The 24,670-nt window shown below is 33.9% G+C and overlaps 1 protein-coding gene and 1 long non-coding RNA gene across 2 annotated transcripts in view; both read left to right on the plus strand.

Annotated features, from left to right (window-relative positions):
* The window catches only part of LINC00992 (long intergenic non-protein coding RNA 992), a 164,233-nt gene that overhangs the window by 39,413 nt on the left and 100,150 nt on the right, over positions 1–24,670 (plus strand). The window contains exon 3 of the long non-coding RNA NR_046089.1: positions 16,978–17,014. This is a non-coding gene — a long non-coding RNA (long intergenic non-protein coding RNA 992). The remainder of the gene's footprint in view (positions 1–16,977; positions 17,015–24,670) is intronic.
* Positions 25–24,444, plus strand: LOC124900192 (uncharacterized). The gene is made up of 2 exons (XM_047417986.1): positions 25–530; positions 24,057–24,444. The coding sequence occupies exons 1-2, from the start codon at positions 185–187 to the stop codon at positions 24,104–24,106; spliced, it is 396 nt and encodes a 131-aa protein (XP_047273942.1). The 5' UTR covers positions 25–184; the 3' UTR covers positions 24,107–24,444.

Here is a 24,670-nt window from a genome sequence, read left to right on the forward strand (position 1 = left end):
GTATAGGCTTAATCTTTATTTTCTAGGAGGAGCTCGCTGTTACCTGAAGGGATGGACTGGTCGGTGGAATGTCCGGTGCCGTGAGTTACCTGCTCAGCCCTGGAGCAGGGGTCAAAGCTGGGCGGAGCTGGACAGCCAGTCTCAGCCTCAGGTACTCCAGTGACAAGCAGCAGCACCAGTGCTGATGAGGGTAGCAGGGAAAACTGGTGAAATGTGCCGAGGTCTCTCCAGAGGTGGTAGGCGGTTGCGCCAGCTTCACATCCTGGATAGGCAGGAACGTTTCCCTATCATACTCCTGTCCCGGGTCTCATGTGTCTCAGTTCAAACAGACACTGCCGTCTATCTTCAAGCTGCAATGAAGCTGAGAGCCACAGAAAACACCTGTACCATGGTTTCAGGGAGGAGTCTCTTCCCTCAGCCGAAAACAGACAGCTTTGCTGGTCATCTGTTCTCCACTGCGAGGACGCTGCCACTCAGTGTGGAGAGAGGAAGGGGTTCTGCCTATGGTGCAAGAAGGTCGGACTCGGCAGGTAGGCACACCACCAATATCATTGTAGCTGCTCCTGATAGTCCTGTATTGGCTGTCCACAGGCATCCACGGCTTTGTCTGCAGCAGTGGGCAGTCGGGAAGGAGAAATCCTCCTCTCTACTACTGTGCCTGAGCACTGGGGCTGCCTGACCACTGGGGCTAAAAAACACTTCCCCCCAGAGCACTGAGCATGGTGCCCATTTCTCTGCTGGAAGGGGTGCTGTCACCCTCAGTCCCCAAGCAGGAAACTCTTGGGCACGGGAGAGCATACGCTCTGGCTTCGTTTGTCCCATGGGGCACTCCCTAGGCGCGCTGCACTCTCCCTTCCCCTAGGGGCAGCATACCCTGAGGTTCAGACCACCGGGAATTCTGCAGCTACCTTAGGTACATCTGGCCCCATGTGTGGCTGCTGCAATCTAAGCAGGTGCTAGGGAATGTCTGCGGGGGATCTGGTGATGTGGAGACACGAAGGCTGAGATTTTCTGGGCAGGACAGAGGACCACAATGATGCACACTCAATATGGCGCTTACCACTGCAGCTCAGGTCTGGGGAGAGGGTGAGCAACTTTACACAAGCTGGTAGCCTGGTGCAATGCCCTCAGTAAATTAACAAATCACCACCCACACCGGTCCTTGGGCTAGGGCCAGCAAAGGAGCTCTCCTACAGCTCGGAAACCCAGTCTGCCACAGCTGTGAGTGGAACGCAAAACACCGCACCTACCCTTTCCACCAGACTCCAAGTTCCTTGGGGTTCAATCTCTGCCACACTCTTCCTTCTTTTTTCTGTGCCCTAGCTTCTTTCTGTGAGTTCTCCAATAGGTTCTGGCACTCTCTCCTTAATCTTCTATTCAACTTACGATTATTCATCTGTAACTTTGGTTCTTTCTGAGGAGAACTGGCATCTGACATCTCAACTCAGCCATCCTGAGAGGGCAGAATTTTGATAAAATTAATAACACTATTTTCTCCCTTTACTCTGCATCTCAAGAGAATGAAGCGGAGTTATGACTTTTTCAACAGAATCATAAACTTCCGTACGCCATTGAGGAATAAGGAGCATATTCCTTCAGCACCAGATTTACCTTTCTTCTTAGTGGCCTGATTTTGATGCTGCTTTTTTGGATTAAAAAAAAAAATCATTCACTTTGCAAATGGGATAATGAAAAGTATACACCTCAATTTCTTTTTGGGATTCAGTGGATCTTAAGAGAAATCAAGTTTCGATGTGATCAATGCCCCAGAAAACAGAGGTGCACTTACAGGGACATGCTAATGCTCTTGGTGATCCTTCTGTAAGATGCGAATGGTCATTTATTCCTCTCTTGTCTGAAAAGTCCTTCCTTAGGTGCCTAAATTACTCTTAGAGGTGCATCGCCAGCCCAGGAGAAACAGACTTCTGAGACAAGGCTATCTTTTGTTCTGTAATTTAGGGGATGTTTTGAAAAAGCCCCTGAAGTGAAATGTTCCCTTAACCTGCTCACAACATTGTCTTACATTTTTCATTAAAATGATTTTCTTCAACATAAGTTTTGATTTCCAGGAGGCTAGTGTTACAGTTTTAAGTGACTTTCTTTGAATGTCCAAAAACGCTTTAAGTGGAAAAACAGATGTTTTAGTTCTTTCTGTTGAAACCACCAACCAAACACTATTCAGATCAATGCATCTTCTCTAAGAATTCTATATTTAGCCCATTATTATGCATCGGGGCATGCATTAAAATCTTTTTCTTCCATTTTCAGACTATTCATATTTTAGGATTCTGGACTAAAACGTAAACCTATCTTGTTTTCATACTTCCACGTGCTTCTGTTATAAATAAACATGTCCCTGTTGTCAGTTTCAGCTCCACTCTACAGCTTATCTGTGGCTGACCCCCTCCACCTCTGACTTATTGGATCCTCATGAGGTCTCCACATCTTGATTTCTGAATAAGGCCTATCCCAAAAGATCCATCAGTAGTTATGTCATTGCTAACTCACAGTTACATCCCTAAAGTTCATGCCAACAAAATAAGCAATTGGATAAAATTATACTGGGGGATGGAGTAGAAAGCAAGTCCATTGGGATTTTACATTTTAGAAATGTGAAAGTAAAAAAAAGAGAAAATGTTGTCAATTGGTCGTAAGAATGGGACAGACTAAACAACACAAATGTCATTTAATCTTCTTTAAAAATAATCCATTTATGTTATACGCATTTTCATGAGTTTTGATATATGACTTTTAATGGCAATTTTTAGTAGTTTTAAAATATTCATCTAGCCTAAGTAGATTATGCTTGATTTGATCACTTCTATATTTGTGGTTGTATTGATTTTCTTCAGTTTCTTAAAGATAAAATTTATTGCAATAAAAATCTAGTTCTGCATATAAGTAGTCCTCTTCTGTGGAATTATGACTTTAGGAAATATATTCCCAAAGGTGGAATTACTGACTCAAATTGGATAAACATTTTATCTCTTACTACATATTGTTTCTTATAAAGCAGACAGCGGTGTTCAACTGTATTAGTTTCACTACAGTCTCACAAACTTTGAATGTTTTTATTTAAGCAATTGTTTTATCCATAGAAGAAGAATACAGTGTGTCCTGAAAAAAAAAATTTATTTTTTTATTTCTTCAATAATGGACAGAATGCACGTTTGCCATGTTTTTATAATCACTGCTTATATAAACTGTTTGTTCATATCCTTTGCCTTATTTAATATGAAAAGGAAGACTCTAAAAATACTGTAATAATCACAATATAAACACTTTGGAAATCCTGTCTGATGCAAATGTTTTCCTAACATTATTTTTTTCTTAGGCGCTTTCGTTTGTATGAAATTTTTATTATTTTATATATGTTCATGTTATCCTGTCAATAATTTCTTTCTATTTTTTAATCTCTGCTCTTCCTCACTGCTAGAGATTGGCATGCCCTTGGATGAGTTCTGTATTTATCATCTCTTCTATATCTGTTGTCATTTATAGGTGATTTCACTTGCATCTCACCCCTTTGGCTTTAAGTATCATTTATATGCAGATGATTTTTATATTTTTATGCCCTGACTCTACTTCTCCCCTGAGTTTCACACACATGTCCAACCAGCTACTCTTCGTCTCTACTTATACGTTTATCTCAAACTTAAGATATCTAAAGTAGAATTTTTGATTCCGTTCTCTAAACCTGTTTCTCCCCACTCTATCTCATCTTAGAAAATAGGTCTATACCTATTTTTGTAAGTCAAAATCTAGCATTGGTTTGATTTCATTCTTTCCCTCAACTTCACCTCTAATCGTCAATAAAGACTTTCATATTACTTCCATTTTTCCCCAACTCCATACTAGCTGAAACACCATCATTGTCTACCTAGGATACCAAAAGAATGACAATCTGGCCACCCTGCTTCAACTCTTGTCCCCTAAAATATGCAAGCAGATAGCGGAGTCAACCCTTTTACTTCCATAGATCAAATCACATGATCCTTCTGTGTAAAACTTTCCAATGTCTTCTCACCCCATGTAGAAAGCAATCCAAATCTCTTGCCCTGGCCATCCAAGGTCTAGATAGCTACACATTATGAAGCTACACTTACCTCTTAATTCATGCAATTTTAGTTCTTGTTCATTTCTCTGTACTCACATGGCACTTTGTTCTGTCCATAAAGCATGAAAAATTTGTTCTTACCCCAAGCCTTTACTCTTGCTGGACTCTGCATAAAATGCTTGTCTTTTTGATATGTGTACGACTGCCTCCTTTTTGTCACTCAAATCACAGTTCAAATATCACCTCCGTCAATTTTAATTTTGAAAGAGACTTTCTCAGAGCACTCAGCAAAAAAAAAAAAAAAAAAAAAGCTCCCAAGACACTATCTATATAGTATCATCCTATTTTGTTTTAGTAATAACACTTATTGTTTTTCTTTCTTTAACTTGTCAGTTGTTTATTTTCTATTTCACGGAAATAATAGAAGCTTCAGGAGAATCATTATCTGGCATCTCTAGCATCTTAAATCATGGAAGTAATTCAATCAACATCTGTTTGATGAATTAATGAATGAGGTTTTTTTTTTTTTCTGCTATAAATCTGAGAGTGTTATTTTGTGATGAATCCAGACACTGGTAAACTTTTTTTATTTTCTTGTTTTTCTCCACAATTTCTTTCTTAATTAAATTTTAATTTTTTGAATCAGAAATTTATTTGCATGGTTCAAGAAATTGAAGCTATAAAAAGCAGTATATTCATATCTTTCTCCCCTCCCTCTTTCTTGTCTCTTTAGTTTCATCACTCAAACAGGGGAACAACTGTTTTCAGCTTCTTACAGCACTTCCAAAGTTTGTCTATATAAAAATGACTAAAAATAAATATTTTTATTTTCTACCTTCTTTGTAAGCACTGAGGTTTCTTAACGTAAAAGCTGTGTTAACTTAGATTTTTCTTTCATCAATCATACATCCTGGATATCTTAGGAGAATTCTCATTATTTCTATAGCTATGTCACATTTTCATTGAGTAGATATATTATAATTAACATAGCCAATTCTTGTCCCCATCAATGCATATATGATTATTCCATTATTTTACATTTAATAATAATGCTGCTATGAATAACCTTGTACATACCTCATTATGCACATACATATGTCTCTAGGATATTACCCAAGTTGGAATTTCTGTGCCAAGAGGTATATGCCTTTGTACTTTTCATAGATGTTGCCAACTTGCTTTTCATAAATCTTATACAAATTACATGCCCATCAGCGATATATGATAATAACTGTTTCCTCAGAACTTTGCCAATGGGAAGTTTTAGCACTTGAGTTTTTGCCAATCTAATAGATAAAAATGGAATAATTTATCTTATGACTGATGAGAGAACATCTTTAAATATGTGTAAAAGCCATTTTTACTTTTTTTTTTACAAACTACGTTCTTTGCCAAATTTTTCAATTTGATTCATGTATTCATTCAATAAATATTTATTATGTGGCAGGTAGTGTTCCAGATACTTGAGATATAGCAAGTATATAGATGAGTTATATATTGCAAATAGACTTATGTTTATATGTTTGACTTTGCTTGTGTTTTCTTACCTTTTGGCCATGCAATGGTTTTGTTAGGTAATTGAATTTCTACTTTCTTTCTAAACCTTGTCTAGGAAGCTTCTGCTGCCACTGTGATACAAGTCATAGTTTTTGCATTACTGAATGAATGACTCCTCATCTTTAGGAAGTATATTTTTCTGGTGCCTTTAAAGTGCTGCCACTGCTGGGTCTTGCTTCACTCTCTTTTTTTTTTTCTTCTTCTTCTTCTTATGCAGCTTCTATAAATTTCTCCTAATTTCATTTTAAATGGGGTGCATGGAAAAGATATTTATTGCTTTTATATAATTTCCAGGAAGAACAGGTTGGCAGGAGAAGTTGATATAGACAACCATGTTCATACCAGAAGTCTCTACTTACATTTTTTTTAATAAGACATATGTAATTATAACCCTATAATAGGCATTGTCACAAAAAGTAGTCAAAAAAGTTTTGGGGGTTTCCACAGTGGCCAGCTGGGAGAAGTGATGTAGGAAAAATTTATTCTTCAAAGGTCATTGATATTGGAAGTGAATTATCCAATCAGAATACTATTAAGAAGGTAAGAGACACAAAATTGAAAAGTTCAAAATGGTGGAGAAACTCTTACTTCCAAGACAATGTAATTCTATATAAAATCTCTCTCTAATATCTTCACCAACAAGTGTAAAGATATTCATATGCTGAAAATATTATCTAATGAGAATCCCATGCAACCTGCGCCATGGATGCTAAATCATTACATGTAATATTTACCTATTTCTTGGGAAAATGTAAGTCAGGTTTCTGTTTCTCAATTGATATCTCTGCACGAAAACTATTAGGGATGTGCTCAGTCTTGACACTGCCTATTTTGCATAGCATATATTCCTGTACATATTGAGAGGATTAATGATAAAAATGAAGGGGAAACTTTTAGATCACAATTTGCCCAGTTAATTGAAGACTACATCTGACTAACACTCCCTTTCCATTGCAATAAAATGAACGTAGAGACCACTTTTGATTTTCCAGGTGCACACTAACCAATTTAAAAATAGCTGTGGTTCAAGCACAAAGAGGAACTGGGCTGATCTGTGGTCAGGTAGGAGCCTTGTAGTATTGGTTGTCTCTCCCTCTGACTGGAAGCTTGATGGTGTTCAGCAGGATAGAGGGGACAATAATGGAACTGAGCAGGGGCATGTAACTGGTCAACATATTGAGAACTTTCATTATAGCCAAGTAAAATTTATATTGCTCTATTTTTGATAATTTTTTGTTTTGTAATCCATTTACTCCAACAAAAAGCAAAGCCAATTCATTTGTTTTCTGCTTTTATAAAATAAGAACCTCATGGAGTTAGTTGTGAAACAAGATTCCACTTAGAGAAATATCCTCAGTAACAGGAATAGTAGACAATACCGTCTTTATTTCAGACTAGAAAAGTAAAGCTTCTAGTATAAAGAAATCCTGTTATTAGTTGCCAATAATTAGATTGTAGATTTGCACTTTGAGGTGATGGACATAGAAATAGATTATGGGAATGAGCAGCACCAGATATGACTAATGTAGAACTTTGTTCAGAATAATTCAATTATGTGAAAGAACATGCTTAGGGAACTATGTCTACCCTGCTACTTAGAGTCTGTGTAGACCTGAATGTCAAGGGATCCTTCCTGTCACGAGTCCAGAAATCCTAAATTCAGTAAATTCAAGCCAGCTGTTTCTTGATTATTCATTAGAAAACACTTAGTAGAAAATAAGCAAAGTTGAATGCTACAGGACTAGTCTTTAAGGAGTTTATTTGTCGGGAAATTACTCTCATCCCATAATTCTAACAATGAGTAATATTTTTCAAATTACATATTCTTTAAAAAATATTATTGATATTTTACAAAGGTAAATACCCTCTGCTCTTCACTATAATAATAACAATTTCCTAATGGCTCAAACTGTGTAAAAAGCAGTTAATGTTTTTGGAAATAAATAAATTTAGGTCACAGGGGTACTGAAGCCCAGATAAAGAAATAAAGGATCTTTATATTCACATAGGCAAAATTTGATTTTCTGCTGTGCCTTGTGTCTCTAAAATTTAGGCATTAACATTTTAAATTATATTGTGCTCATAAGAAGTAGGTTGTGTTCAATGATCAAATCATCAAAAATGATGAATGATCAAAAAATGATCCAAAAAGGAAAGATGTTTCATTTTATATGATACTATTGAAAGTAAACTGGTCTCTTCTCTCGCTGATGAAGGAATATGTACTACATCTACATTTATTTTACACAAAATCTAGAAAATCAATGAATTAAGATAATTACTCAAAATTCAGAACAACAAATACCTTTATTGAATCAAAATGATAATTTGAAGAAAGTACACTTTGCAGCTAGAATAATAGGTGAGTATCCCATGCTTTGAAATCAGAAGAAAGTTAGAAAATGAGTGTATATGTGTGTATATATGTGCATGCATTTTATATGAATGGTCTGGATTTATTGTGCCAATAATCACACTGAAAATAAAATGTGTTTTTATATGTTTATATGTAAAAATATTATCATTACAATAATATATTTTCTCTTCTATAATACCTGAGAATTTTCCCTTTTCTATTGTTTTCATATTTTTCTCAAAATAAATGCTAGAATACTGGATAATATTTTAGTACATAATACTGAAATTAGATAATTGATGACTTTTTATTTACACAAACGTATGAATTCAAGATACTCTAGGAATTTATAATTCTTTGAAAAACAAATAAAACTGCAATGAAAAGGTAAAAATTCTGAAAGTACTTTATTCTTCAATTCAGTTCAGGAATCCTGACTCTCAGATACAAAGGACATGCCTGAAATAGTCTACTCCCTGTGTAAATTTGCTGATTTGTAAGAGTTTTGCTTTTTATTCCTCGATACCAGCAGAAGATTCAAAAAGATTTTTATTTTTGTGATACTATTTATATCAATTAGGTATGGTTCCAAAAAGAATCATCACATTTACTACATAAGGCAGATAACTGAAAGTTTATCCTAGAGGCAAAATACTTTTTATTTCTACCCTCAAGCATATCCCTATAATTATCTATTCCTAGTCTTTTATTAGTACATGTTCTCCACACAAATAAAGCAGGTTAGTGATCTCTAATCCTGAAGGTCATTGTTTCCCAAATCCATAAAATTGAATTTACTCCTCGAATTTGCAGCCTTTATTTTATCACATTAGCAATAGAAGATCATTCACATAATCTCTAATAGTTTTCCACATTACTTTTTAAAAGTTAAAGAAAATGGTGATTATTTGAAAATTAAGGACTTAAATATGTTTGACATGTTGAAAGCCTTGTATCTTATGTATTTCTTCTGAAGCGTTTTGTCATTTAAAGCTAGCTTTAGGCTTAGGGATATTTATCCAGTGGCAACATGACGATAAACATGTCTCACTGCCCTCCTTGCCAACTCCCTATCCCTTTTATTGGTAAGACTCACGGTTTTGTTATGAAATATTCATGTTTGGAATTTCAGGCTGCTCCATCCTGTCAAGTGGATGACAGTCGCCTGGAAGGCAGCTGTGCATGTAAATTAATCAACCTTACTTATCTGCCCAAATATATCTTCTGTTTCTTAGGGATTGAAAAAAATACCTAGCCATTTCCAAAGCACTGTGCAATGAATGTAGACTTGGGAGATTTTTGTAGATTTGACTGTTTTCTTCTCCAATATACCTGGACAGTTGCCATTATTATCTTCTTGAACACTTTGCAAAGCCATTTATGAATAAACAGAAGTGCTGCAATTGGCCTTTCTCACAAAAATTTTGTGTGGGTTCATTCAGTTGCTCAGGACACAAAGACACACAGTGTACTTCATTAGTGTCCTTGCATTGTACTCTGGTTCTCAAACTGATCCTTAGAAAGGTTGTAGCAAAATAACCTTATAAATCAGAACTTTTGGACTGAGGCCAAGGACACTATTTTGCACATGCATTTTCACTGAACAGCTTGGAGTCCAGATACCTTAACTAACATCTTTACAATCTGGCTCTAACAGATATTCTACTGCTCCTGTTTGATCACGTTAGGTACACTGAAATGTTCATGTATTTTGGCATGCATACTCTCCAGTTCCTCCATGCACTTGTGGTTTTCTCTGCCTAGTCTACCATTGCCCTTTTATGTTTAAAAAACTCTTGATCATTATTTTTTTCATAAGAAGCATGCTTAGATATACCTTTTATTTACATATGTATATTAAATTTTTAGGCATATATAACAGTTGTACATTCTTATGGAATACATGTGATATTTTGATAATCATATAATGCATGATGATCAAATCAGGGTAATTGGGATATTCATCACCTCAAACATTTACGTTTTTTCTGGTGTTGGTAACATTCCAAATCCACTGTAGTTATTTTGAAATATACAATACACTATTGCTAACTATAGTTGTCCTATTCTGCTATAGAATATTAGTTCATATTCCTTCTAACTGTGCATGTCCATTAACCAACTTCTATTTATCCCCTTCTCCCCCAGTACCCTTCCCACCCTCTGATAACCATCATTCTATTCTCTACCTTCATGAGATCAATATTTTGAGCTCCTGCGTATGAGCAAGAATATGCAATATTTGTCTTAATGTGCCTGATTTATTTCACTTAACCTAATGTCCTCTAGTTCCATCCGTATTGCTGTAGAAGACAGAGTTCTATTTTTTTTTTATGGCCGAATAACGTCCCATTGTGTATATATGCCACAATTTATCTGTTCAGCTGGGTTCATGGAAGTTTGGTTGATTCCATATCTTAGCTATTGTGAATAGTGCAGCAGTAAACATGGGAGTGCAAATATCTCTTTGATATACCAATTTCCTTTCTTTTGGATATATACTCAGCAATGAGATTGCTTGATTGAACAGCAGTTCTGTTTTTAGTTTTTTGAGAAATCTCCATACTGTTTTCCATAGTACCTATACTAATTTACAATCCCACCAACAGTGTCCAAATGTTCCTCTTTCTCCACTTTCTCCCCAGCATTCATTATTATTTATCTTTTTGGTAGAAGTCATTTTAATGGGTAGTATGATATCTCACTTTGTTTGCATTTCTGTAATGATTAGTGATGTTGAGCATTTTTCATATAACTATTGGCCATTTGTATGTCTTCTTTTAAGAAATGTCTATTCAGATTTTGGCCCATTTTAAAATCAGATGATTATTATAATTATTTTGCTATTAAGTTATTTGAGTTATTTATTTGTTCTGATTATTAACCTTTTGTCACTTAAATTGTTTGAAAATATTTTCTCCCATTCTGTAGTTTAGTCTCTTCCCTTTGTTGATTGTTTCCTTTGCTGTGCAGAAGCTTTTAAACTTGATGTGACCCCATTTGTCCATTTTTCCTTCAGTTATCTCTGCTCTTCAGGTCTTACTCAAGAAATTTTCTCCCAGAGCAATGTCTTGAAGTATTTTCTCAATGTTGTATTCCAGTAGTTTCATAGATTCAGGTCTTAAATGTATGTATTTAATCTATTTTGACTTAGTTTTTCTACATGGTGAGAGATAGAGACCTAATTTCATTCTTTGGCATATGGATAACCAGTTTTCCCAGCACCATTTGTTGAAGAGACTATCTTTTCCCCAGTGTATGTTATTGGCACCTTTGTGAGATATCAGTTGACTGTAAATGTGTGAATTCATGTCTAGGTTCTGTGTGTCTGTGTGTGTATGTGTGTGTTTTAATGCTATTAACATGTTGCTTTGGTTACTATAGCTTTGTAGTATAATTTGAAGTCAGGTAATGTGATACTTCCAGCTTTAGTTTTTTTTTTTTGCTCAGGATTTATTTGACTCTTCTGGGTCTTTTATGGTTTCACATAAATTTTAGTGTTGCTTTTTCTATTTCTGTGAAGAATGTCATTGATATTTTGACAGAGATTGCATTGAATCTGTTGATAACATTGAGTAGTATGAACATTTTAACAATGATGACTCTTTCAATCCATGAACACAAGATACAGATATCTTTCTGATTTTGTGTTCTCTCTCATGTATTTCATTAATGTTTAATCTTTCACTTTATTGGCTGTTTAATTCTAGGTATTTTATTTTATTTTAGCCACTGTAAATGGGATTCCTTTCTTGGTTTCTTTTTCAGATTGTTTGCTGTTGACATAGAAATACTACTGAGTTTTGCATGTTGATTTTGTAACCTACAACTTTACTAAATTTATTTATCAGTTCTAATTTTTTTGTGTGGAGTCTTTAGGTTTTTCTCAATAAAAGATTATATAATCTGCAAATAAAGATAGCTTGACTTCTTCCTTTCCAATTTGGATTTCCTTTCTTTCTTTCTCTTATCTAATTGCTCTAGCTAAGACTTCCAGTACTATGTTGAATAACAATGGTGAAAGGGGCATCCTTCTTATGTTTCAGATTGTAGAGAAAAATATTTCACTTTCTTCCCCATTCAGTATGATACTAGCTGTGGATCTGTCATATATGGCCTTTATCATGTTGAGATATGTTCCTTCTGTACCCAATTTGTTGAGAGTTTTTATCATGAAGGGATGTTGAATTTTACCAAGTTCAAATACTATTTTTTTCAAGCAGAGTCTGTAACTCTATCTTCTATGCACCTACAACTAGTTGTATCTTTCGGGCATTAATTTTTTTTTTTTTTTGCTTCAGCATACAGTTAAGTATTTGCTAATCTAATATGCTCTTGGATTTTGAATTCTGAAGTACAAGAGTTATATCTTTCTTTTAAACCTTGCTATTACTGGATTGATTTTCTAATGGTATTTATTCTATTTGCAACAATCTGACAAGTTCAAATTTTGAAAATGATTTTTAAAATATAGAAATTGTGAATGCTTTCCATAATGTAAGTGTCCAGTGTTCTTACATTGATACTTACAGTGTAAGGTTACCTTAGACACTTACTTTTTCATATATATATACACAAATATATATACACACACATATATACATATATACATACATATACTTATATGTTTTATATGTATGTGTGTACATAATATAGATACATATGTATATCTATATGTATATATGTATACACATATGTATACATATATACGTATGTATATATGTATCTATATTATATACACCTTTGTATATATGTATATATGTATCTATATTATATACACCTATGTATGTATGTATCTACACACATATGTATATATGTATCTATATTATATACACCTTTTAATTTGGAGTACTTTTAAAGAGCTTCCCAAAATTTTATCTATAGCAAATCACGAGTTCATAAATTTGAGCTTCATTCATTAAATGAGTTGAACAAAAAATATCCCTTTGTAGCCTTGAAATACTCGTCAGTTAATTGTTGTCATGAGGTTCAGTTTGCAAAAGTTATTTTGAAGAAATATATAGATATCTTCAAAATTTGTTTAAGTGGTTGTTTTCTATTAATGAACCGTAAAAGGAGCCATAAGAGATCACCTTTCATTACCTTGTCTCTAGTTTGACCCAAACCATTTATTTTTTATGAGTCTTTAGAGAAGAAGAGCCTATAGCCTGAATCATTTCAGTGATTAACAATGTTCACTACCAAGACAGTTTTATTTGTTTTTAATCTAAGTTACTAAAAGTAGGTCTATTTCCTTTTGTCTTGTCTTCAGAAAAGATGGAAAACAGCAGGTTACCATCCTCTGCAGAGAAACCACTCATATATTTGAAGACCATCAATAAGCCATCCTCCTCCAGGCTAAACAATCTCTGTCCCTTTAGCCTCTAAAATTGCTCTTGTAGTCCAACATGTTAATCATCTTTGTAGCTCTTCTCTGAACATTATCCTACTCCTATAAGTTGTAGATTGCATAATGCTTTTCTAGGTGAGGATTCAGTACATTTTGTTTTGATTGATTACAAAAAAGAACATTTTTTTAATAGGCAATTTAGTAGAGCTTTACAGTCACATATTTTTCAGAACATTCCCTACTGAAAACTCTTCTATGTGCTCCAAATATGGTTAATATAATGAATTAAATGTGCAAGAGAGAATATCCTATGGCTACTTTTATTACAATTTAAGTATGTAAATTTAGCCACTTAATTATACATCAGAGTACTTTAAATGGATCACTATGACTGAACTCCAGCAACCCAAAATAGAGCCTGGCTGCATTGAGTTTAACTGCTATAATCAACCTGAATTTACAAATCCATAGAAATTTGGTATAATACATATAATGGAGAAAGATGATAAACTGACCCTGAATGGGTCATTATTTTAGAAATGATGTTGCACTATTGTGGTTCTAAACCTATCAATCCCATTTTCTTTTTAGTTGCCCCTGGTGACCAGTCATCTCCATTATGTAGCTATGGCTCGCAGGTAACCTATGGCCAAGAAAAGATAGTAACTATACACATGGAAGCTAATAGGGCCCCCATTTAGTACAGGGATTGTAACCATTAGAAATTCTCCTTTATATAAAGATATGTAACCCTTTTGGTTTTAACCTTTTCCTTTTACACTATTTATCCATACTAGTAGTAGACTAGAAAACTTAAATGCAAATAAATGCTGAAGAGAAGTTGAAATAATATTGAAATTTTTAGAAATTTTAGTCATTCCAAGGAGATGTTACTTGTATTATTTCTAGTCCTTCTCTATTCCTGATACAACATGGGTATTCTAAGCAGTAGATCCTTCTTTAGTGTTAATAGCATGCTCCAAATTATATGGAAAATATAAGGCCTCATCTTTCCACTGCCCATACTTGCCCCCAAGTACAGTGATATTATGAGTAAAGGCCAAGGATATGTATCTAAGAGTGAAAATTTAGGTTAATAAGGAAATTTGGATTTGTGTCTGTTGGATTGTGTGTGTTAGTGTATGTTCTTTTTTTAGGCCATCTTTTTGTACTTATTTTCTCCATTAGAATTGCATTAGCTGGGCTGCTACAACAAGCTAAGCCTGGGTATTTGTACTGCTAGGAAGAAAATGTGTGCCATCAACAGTTTAATTAGGCAACTGGATGGAAAAGAGGAAAAGAATCATTTCCCAGACCTCTTAGAAATGTTTTGTTGAGGGAAAAAGCAGTCAATATAGATATATTGATATACTAATAAAGATACAAATATACTTATTAATCCATCAATCAGTCTATCTATTTATCTATCTATTTTCTGAGCTATCACAAGGAATTGGTTTACATGATTGTGGGGAAGTAATTTGAATCCACAGGGCAAGAAGTCAGGAAGTGAAGATCACAAGCAGACTGAAACTCTGAAGCTTCATGATGAAGCTGTTGTCACAGGTAATGAGGAAGGGAAGGTTCTATAAAGGAAAAACAAAGTGTAGACCAAAAATATCAGAGCATGGCTAAGGACAGTGCCTAAGTCTTTTTAAAAAGGCTTCCACTGATTAGGTCAGGCTCATGAGGATAGACCCTGTACTTTATTTAATTACAATTTTAATTACATCAGCAAAATACCTTCACAGCCAGCACTTAAGTTAGCATTTGATTGAAAGACTGGAAGAAGATGTATGTATGCTACAAAATGGCTGCTGTAGTTCCTTCTGCCCTCATATTTTATGTTGCCAATTTGACACCTTAAAAAAGTCATCATAGACAGGTCTGGATGTTTTTCCCAGACATTTTTCTCAGTGGGCGTCTATCAGGGATTCCTCTGATCATTGCAGTTGTGAGAACAGAATTCAGAGGTCTGAATCGTGATCTTTTGCAGGCAAGTCTGTAGATCAAACTATTATACCTAGATGCTAAATTAAAAACAAAATGAAAAGCAAAAAATCCCTCAAAAATCGATGATGGCATAAAATTTGAGAACTAGAAGAAATCGTATACATTACTGTGCTTATTTTCTCATTGTTATAGTGCTAGTTAGTAACAGAGTCACATCGAATGGCCTAATCATATCATATCTTAATAACACTTAAAGACACTACTCCATGATAGTTACCTGTGGAAACCAAGGAAAAGGGAGGCTAAATAACTTCCCAAGTTACTGTTAGTAAGGGAGGTAGGATTCAACATAGATGGCCTAATTTCCAAGGCTGTTTTTAACCTGCGTGCTCTACTACATATCCCAGACTAGAATACACATATCACAACTGCTGGCCACATAGTGTATTTTTTTCTAGTAGTTTCTCATTTAGTATGGAAAAATCATCTCAAATTACTTTTATCATTTGGCAGGTAGGAAAATCCATTATCTAATGGCTTTTTTTCTTTAATTCTAATTCTTCCCTTTTTTAACTCCATTCTTTCTCTCCTAAGAAAAATATCTAAAATATATTTCTGTGTTTTGACTTGTACCCATTTATTAGTTTCCATTTCTTTTCTCTTTCTGTGACTTCAATAGATGAATTTTATCAAAAGGTTGTTCAGATATTCAAGAGTCCCCTTCTTATTTTCACTAGCTTTTTAAACTATAAGCTTAGCAAGATTTCAAGCTTATAATAGCTATTCTTTTTGAATATCTGAAGTCTAGAATTTTAGTTTAACATTTATTTTTCCTAAATCACACACATTTAAAGATCTTTAGATGTGGCATGTACAAAAGATTAATCACAAGTCTAACATGAATCTGGAAAGCTGTTATTTCCTAGGGCAATATGGAATTACAAACCTGTTATTCCTTATAGTTTTTTTCTGTAGATATGATTCTGGTAGGTTGTACTAACTGCAAATGACTTTCATCCAACAGCAGGTTTGAAATGACTTATTTTCATACAAAAATAAAACCATATTAAAAAATCAAAAGCACTAAACAACAAAAATGAATAATCAAAGACTCTAAAGTAAAGATCATACACATGCCAAAAAAAATCACACACTTTTCATAGCTATATTGGGGCTTAATTTATGTACCATAAAACTCACCTGTTTAAAGTGTACAATTCATTATTTTCTTAGAATATTTAGAGAGTAAAAAATAAAACTTTCTTTGGAGGAATAACTATTCAAATCCTTTCCATTTTTAAATTGTGTGATGTGACTTTTTGTAATTTAGTTGTAAGCATTCTTTATGTATTCTAGGTACAAATCCCTTACCAAATATATGATTTGTAAATGTCTTCTCCCATTCTATGGGTGGTCTTTTTACTTAATGATGTTCTTCAAAGCACAAGGGATATATGTCATATTTTAAAAATCACCAATTTCTTTAAATAGTTACATGAATCTAAACAATTAACTGGTTAATTGGAGGAAGAAGTATTCTGGTTCCACTTCTAATATCATATAACATAAATTAGAGCAAGTAGATAACATGGTATTTAATGGCTGTACCTTGGTCAAGGATCATTGAAATGACTGGCTTAGTATTCTAAAATATTTGCAGTGAGTGTTTATATCTACTTTTATGCATTCTTTTTTTCTTTTCAGTTAATACTCTTGGATAATGTATTTAAGGATGCTTAAGGTAAGCCATTTGAATTTTATCTGAGTCTTAGTTTATAGATGCAATAAGATTCTGCCTACTGAATTTTCTCTTCTTCTGAGATTTGGTTAGCCCGTTTTCTAGCAAGCTAGGACAAATTTCTGTAATTAGTATTATAAATATTTATAAAAGACTACAGTAGACACAATTTAGCTTTTTGAATTTTGCATAAATGCTACCTTATTCACTATGTCGAGTATTTCCCTTACAAATTAATTTTTATACTAGTGCATTCAAAAACAATGTCTTGAGAGATTTCCCACATCTATTGAACTAGAGATGACAAACTGCAATTGAAATAAAATACAAACATTTTCCAAATGTCAACATTTGTTTACATTTTACATAGGTTTCTAGGAGTCTTATCATAAACTATTATAAATAAAGGTGGTGCAATCTAGTACATTGTTTTTTCCTGCTCTAGTTGACGTACTCATTCAATTTTCTAGAAACACCCGTAACTTTAGATCTATATATCACAAGTTAATCATCTTGATATGTAATTACTTTTATGATTAGTTTATGATTTTATTTGAGCCCTTTGTGTGAAGATAGTGAAAGCTTTTTATCTTACACTGATTTTATACCATCTTCAACTTTGTAAGAAGCCTTTTAATCAGAAAGGCTAAGAAATTAGTCAACAGCATTTATTTGATAATATAGTTTTAAAAAGGTAGAAATATTACAGGTTTGATATTCTTTTCCAGGTTATAAAAATTATGTATGAGTTTTCATAATGTTAACAGTGGAGGTGATGGGAATAAATATGAATTGGGTAATTTTCTACTTGGAGGAAACCAAGGCAACATAAATAATCTTTAAGTGATTTAGTTATGTAAAATTACTTATTGGTCTTTTGAATGACTCTATTCTTGTTCATTTAACTAGGTTGTATCACACAGAATCATTCATTGTAAAATAAATTATAAATTGTGCTTCTAAAAATATTGCGATATTCTCATCATGATTTGTCATTCTTCTAGCAACAATGTTAAAGTGATTGATGCATTCTAAAGAACTGCAAAACAGAAACAAAATAAAATAAGAAAGTTTGAAAGTGTAAGATTTTATAAGTTCATAGCAGACACACCATAGATGAAGTTAGGGATGTTAACAAAATTCTGTATAACAAGCAAGAGTGCTGAAGAAATAAATAGGTTGCAGCTTCATATGAAGCTCTTCTCCTTCTCAAGAGAAAACTGCTTTTTTACATGAAGTCTCTAATAACATAATGTGGTTTGAATCCTTGTCCATAAAGTATGTTGTGCATTTCTTTTTATTGTCGTGGGCCCAGCCCCTGCTGGGACAAGTCAGCTGTGAGAGATTGAAATTCTCTCCTTCACTTCAGCTGCAGCTGCCAAGACTCTGCCTCCCAGGCCTGTATTCACCAAAACAGTGATTACCTTGGACACTTGCTAAATCGTGGAAACCTCATTTGCACCTAAATACAGTCTATGTACATGAATAATAATTGCTTGTCTTTCGGGTGGAATTACGTAAACATACAGAGAAGCTACATACTTGGACATATTTATGACAGCTTGGCCAAGAGTTTTCAAAAATCATTACATCAGGCTAATTAATCTTTTGAATTTTGCACAAGGAAGTCTGTTCACATTAACCAATGCCAACCTTTCCTTCTCCCCATCTCCTGCTGTTCCACATCTGAAACCAAACTGCCTTGCCCAACCAATTTCATTGAACATAGCCTTAATAGACAACATTTACTGAGAATTTGACAAGCATGGGACTCTAAACTAAGGACTTTATATGTGGGAAGAATATTTTGTAAAATATTGGAGAGATAGTCATGGCACAATAATTTAAAACAGCATGAATTATGTATTCAGATATACCCAAATTCAATTCTTGGCTACGTCTCATGCTAACTTGGACTTAAACTTTCTGTTTCAGTTTCTGCATATTGGAATTAAGGGGGGTAATTATAACTTGGAAATTTTTTGAGAGACTTCTCCCAGGACATGGAGCCAGTCACTTGAGGAATCAACATAAAAACCAAGGACTCAAGTCCCTGTTCTTATCAATAAGTTTTATTGTCACCATTAATTTTTGATAGCTCTTCCACTTTTAACAAGGTTGTTGAGACCCTTCAAGGTATTGAAAAATATTGCTCTATTTATGGCTTATCAGAAATAGGAAAAATATGACATTATTTTATATTTCTGAACAATTTAAATTCATACCATGCATTTTAAGTTTTGAAAACTCTCCTACAGTATTTCCCACAGCTCATCCACTCCTGTCTTTCCAAGTACTTTTCTTAACTCAGCTCTGATAAATAATTTTGTACAGTGTGCAGGGTTGTGCATGGGTACAGTGTGCAGGGTTGTGCATGGGCGGCAGGGAGTCATGGCATATGTATGAGGAAGGAGTTGCAGAACTGAATACAAGTAGTGGGTTTGAAGAAATAAAAAACTTGATTCCATTTTCTAACTTCTCATTTTGTCACATGTGTTCTGTGACTATGAAAGTGGTGTGTTTCTCAGTATGGATGACTATCACTCATAAACTGGAAACTTTTGGTTCTAATTGTTTCTTTTAACACCAGTATAGAATATGGCAAGGAAATATTAAGGAGAGTGAAGGAGAAAAGATAAAGACTGTTTTTGATGTTATTAAAATCTAAGTAATAACCATAAAGGGTTACATAAATGAACATAAATCTACAGGCCATTAGAATGAATTTGCTGTTAGTTTTATTTTATGAAGAGCTTGGGGTGAACCCTTGAGCTCTCGTCATTATGTGGATTTTATCCCAAAGTATCCTATGGGCTGGATTAGAGGAAACACAATAAGATTTATAAAATGTTATTTTTAACTCTCTTTATTGGCACTTTGTGCATGCACATACAAATGTAACTTTACAGCACCCCTGCATTGTGCATGATAACCTGAAGATGCTGAAGAAACAGAAACTCAGATTTCATTGGATTAACACTTATTTTTACCCAGTGGAGTGCAGGTCAAAGGCACTCCATAAACTGAATTTGTAACTCTAGGAAGCAATGTTCTGAACCAGAAAGCAGGAAAGAGTATTAATCAAAAGTGAAAAGGTTCTGCTGAAAGCGGAACAGTCTTGGAAAATGATTTTAAAGATCACTTGCCATGCACACAATTATTTTGTATTTGCAGTTCATGCCAAGAGTTTAAAGAAAACTGATGGGAAATTTCATTATTCAAGTATGCACTGTATGTACAATGTAATCCCAGTCACTCACTGGGGCAAGGCAAAAGTGACATTAAGACAGAATATTTTAAAAATCTAATTGTTCCGTACTATACAAAGTGAGCTTTCATTGCAAATAATTATTCCTATTATGAGGTCTACAGAGGCATAATATTGTTAAAATGAGAATAGTTTCTGAACCATATAGACTTTTATGGATATTTAAAAAATACGTCTCTAAAGTGTTGAATAACTGGCAGTGTTATTCCTTATTTTCATTTTTTAATGTATTTTACCAGTTCAGGAAGGATGTAGTTCAATAAAAATTCCCATTACAATCTGAAACTTCCTCTCCATTTTCATAATAGTAACTGGGGACACTGCTTCAAACATAGTTAAGCCTTTTAAAGGTGTTGAAGAGACAGCTTTTGTCATTTTTAAAAGATACGTATTTCTTAAAGAAGGGATAAGGTTGATAGACTTAATATGATAAGAGATTCTGTCTTACAGAAAAATAAAATCAACTCAAAGAGATGTTTTTTCTCTTTCCCTTACATGCCAAAGTAGTGGACTACTTTCTTGTCCCAGGGTTTTCTATATAAGCTCAAGAACATACATCCCATAATATCTGTTAAATAAAAAAAAGATTAACCTTTTATTAAAAAGATAATAATAGAATTAAGTGAAACCATTTACTACATTGAAGGGATTGATGTTTTGTTGAAATAACTGGTTAAACTAAAATATTTTGTCCATTGTCTCATTTTTATTCTAATTCCAGTCACAGATTTACTTGTTTATCTGACAAAAGATAGTGCTATTGTGGAGAATTACGAAATAAGTATAAATCTTCATAGTATAGGTAAACTACACTTTCAAAAAATAATCCTGTAGAGGAAAGAGGCAGTATCTTTTAAGACTCACCATCAGTTCCAGTCTTTGACCTTTGAACTTTTCCTGTTTCACTTTCATTGGACTAACTCTGTATGATTCCAAAGTTCATTCTCTGAGGTGGAAGTTATAATGACAGTTCTACAAAGCTTTTATTTTTTCCTCACCCAGATTACCATTCTATCTTAGGAATTTAAGCAAACTATACAGTAAATACAAGATACCATGTAATAAAGTTAGTACATGTCTTCGATGAGTTTTACCTAAGTTGCATCACTTTTTTTGTGGTTACCTTATTATTGTTCTGAAAAAATTATCTTCATTTCTCTACGTAATATATAGAAAATAACTTTACATTAATGCACAGACCACTAACATATATTAAAATCTCAATGAAATTAGTGTCATTTTATCCTTGTTTCCTGAGCTATTTAATTGGTTGTTACTTTTGTTTCCTACAGTGTATCCTTTGTTTTAATATGCTTTTTAATTCAGTCATCAAATATTTATTAACTGCCAACTATACTATGGCAATATATTTTGTTCAACAAATGCTTCTTGAATGCCTAGTGTGTGAAAGGAATTATACTGTGAAATTCGGGTATAAAAACATATGCTCTTGATGGTCTTATCCTCCAAATGCTTATAAAGAGCTAAGTAATAAGCCAAATGCTATTCAAAATTAAAAGTCATTGTGTAATTTTAAGACCTTCAATACAATCACCAAGGAAATATTATGAGACAAACTCCAATAGCTCATTTTATGCACATTACTCATTTTGATAATTAAACTGATAGCACTTAGAATATAGTTATGTTATATCTTGCTTTAAGTTGGATAAATTAAAATATTTTTTCTAATGCAATTGTACCTGATTTTGTGAAATATTTTAATTCCTAACAGCCTTATAGGCATATCTCACTTTATTGTGCTTCAGTTGATTGTACCTTCTAGAGTCTATGTTTTTACAAATTGAAGGTTTGTAGCAATCTGTATCCAGCATGTCTATTGGTGCCATTTTCCAACAGCATATGCCCTCTTTTGTCTCTGCATCACATTTGTTAATTATTGCAATAGTTGAAACATTATTAGTATTATTATTATATCTGTTATGGTGATCTGTAATCCATGATCTTTCACGTTACTGTTGTAATTGCTTCTGTACGCCATAAACTGCATCTGCATAAGATGGCAAACTTAATACGTTTTGTGTGTTCTGACTGCTCCATTGACTTGCTATTTTCCCATCTTGCCCCTTCTCCTTGAAGGAGAGGCTCTTTATTTCCTGAAACATAGCAATATTGAAATTGGGACAATTAATAACACCACAACAACCTCAAAGTCTTCAACTGAAAGAAAGAGTTGCACATCTTTAATTTTAATCAAAAGCTAGAAATGATTAAGCTTAGTGGGGAAGTCATGTCGTAAGTCAGGACAGGCTGAAAGCTGGGCTTCTTGTGCCATTTAACCAAGTTGTGATGCAAAGGAAAAATTTGTGAAGTAGGTTAAAAGTGCTACTCTAGTGAAAACATTAATCATAAGAATGCAAAGCAGCCGTACTGCTGAAATGGGACAAAATTTGAGTAGTCCAAATAGAAGATCAAACCAGTCACAAAATGTCTTCAAGCCAAAGCCTAATCCAGAGCAAGATCCTAATTCTCTTGAATTCTGTGAAGGCTGAGAGAGGTGATGAAGCTGCAGAAAAAAGTTTGAAGCTAGCACAGGTTGCTTCATGAGGGTTAAGAAAAGAAGCCATCTCCATAACATAAAAGTGCAAAGTGAAGTAGCAGCTGCTGATACAGTGGCTACAAGTTATCCAGAAGATCTAGCTAAGATAACTGATGAAGGTGGCTACACTAAAAAACAGATTGTCAATGTAGATGAAACATTCTTCCATTGGAAGAAGATGCCACCTAGGACTTTGATAGTGAGAGAGAAGTGAATGCCTGGCATCAAAGCTTTAAAGGACAGACTGACTCTTGTTAGGAACAAATGCAGCTGGTGACTTTAAGTTGAAGCCAGTGGTCATTTACCATTCTGATGATGTTAGGGCTGCTAAGAATTAGGCTAAATCTACTCTGCCTGTGTTCTATAAGTGGAACAATAAAGCCTGAGTCACACCATATTTGTTTACAGCATGGTTTACTGAAATATTTTAAGCCCACTGTTGAGACTTACTACTCAGGAAAAGAAAGATTTCTTTTAAAATATTACTGCCCATTGACAATGCACATCCTCACCCAAGACTGATGGAGATGTACAAGGTAGTTAATATTACTTTCATGCCTGCTAAGGCATCTTTCATTCTGCAGCCCTTGGGTCAAGGAATAAATTTCACTTTCAAGTCTTATTATTTAAGAAATATATTTCGTAAGACTACAGTTGATGGATCTAGGCAAAGTAAATCAAAAAACCTTCTCGAAAGGATTCATTCTTCTACATACCACTAAGAACATTCATGATTCATGAGAGGAGGTCAAAATATCAACACTAATAGAGATTTGGAAGAAGTAGATTCGAAGCCTCATAGATGCATTTGTGGAATTCAGTACATCAGTGGAGGAAGTAACTGTATGTGGTGGAAATAGTAAGACAACGATAATTATAAGTAGAGCCTAAAGAAGAGGCTGAATAGCTGCAATCTTAGAGTAAAACTTGAATGATGAGGAGTTGCTTCTTAGAGATGAGCAAAGAAAGTGGTTTCTTGAGTTGGAATACACTCAGTGGATATGTTGTGAACATTGTTGGAATAAAGACAAAGGATTTAAAATATTATGCAAACTTAGTTGATAAAGCAGTGGCAGTTTGATAAGAGTGACTCCCATTTTGAAAAATGAAATTGTGTGGGTAAAATGGCATAAACCAGTATTACAACTTACAGAAAAATATTTTGTGAAAGGAAAAGTCAATTGATATAGCAAACTTCATTGTTGTCTTGTTTTCAGAAATTGCAACAGCCAGTTCAACCTTCAGCAACCACCATACTGATCAGTAGTCATCAACATTGAGACGAGACTGTACACCAGCAAAAAGATCCCAACTCAATGAAGGCTCAGATGATTTTAGCATTTTTTTAGCAATAAAGCATTTTTAAATTAAACTATATACATTGTTGTTTTAGACAAGTTTTTGCACATTCAGAATACAGTAAAGTGTAAACATGACTTTTATATACACTGGGGAAACCAAAAAATTTGTGTGACTTACTTTATTGCAATATTTGTTTTATTGTGCTGATCTGGAGCTAAATATATCTGAGATATGCTTGTACTGATGATTATTTTAACACCAAGATATTTTAAAATTCATTAAATAAATGTTTATTTAAATAGACCTCTAGCATACATTTACTGGTAACTAAAGGCTTTGTTAACAAAGGGAAATACTAAATTATTAAGGTTTTGCATGACTTTGAAAATTTCTATATTGAATTATAAATACTATGGAATTATAGCCTTTTTTTTGTTTTTTAAATCAAAGATTTAAATTTTTCTCAAATGCATCTTTATGATTGAAGTCTGCTTATCATTAACATTTGATATCAGAAGCACTAATTCTT

This window comes from Homo sapiens, chromosome 5 (assembly GCF_000001405.40).
Source record: "Homo sapiens chromosome 5, GRCh38.p14 Primary Assembly".
In the NCBI taxonomy this organism is placed as follows: domain Eukaryota; kingdom Metazoa; phylum Chordata; class Mammalia; order Primates; family Hominidae; genus Homo; species Homo sapiens.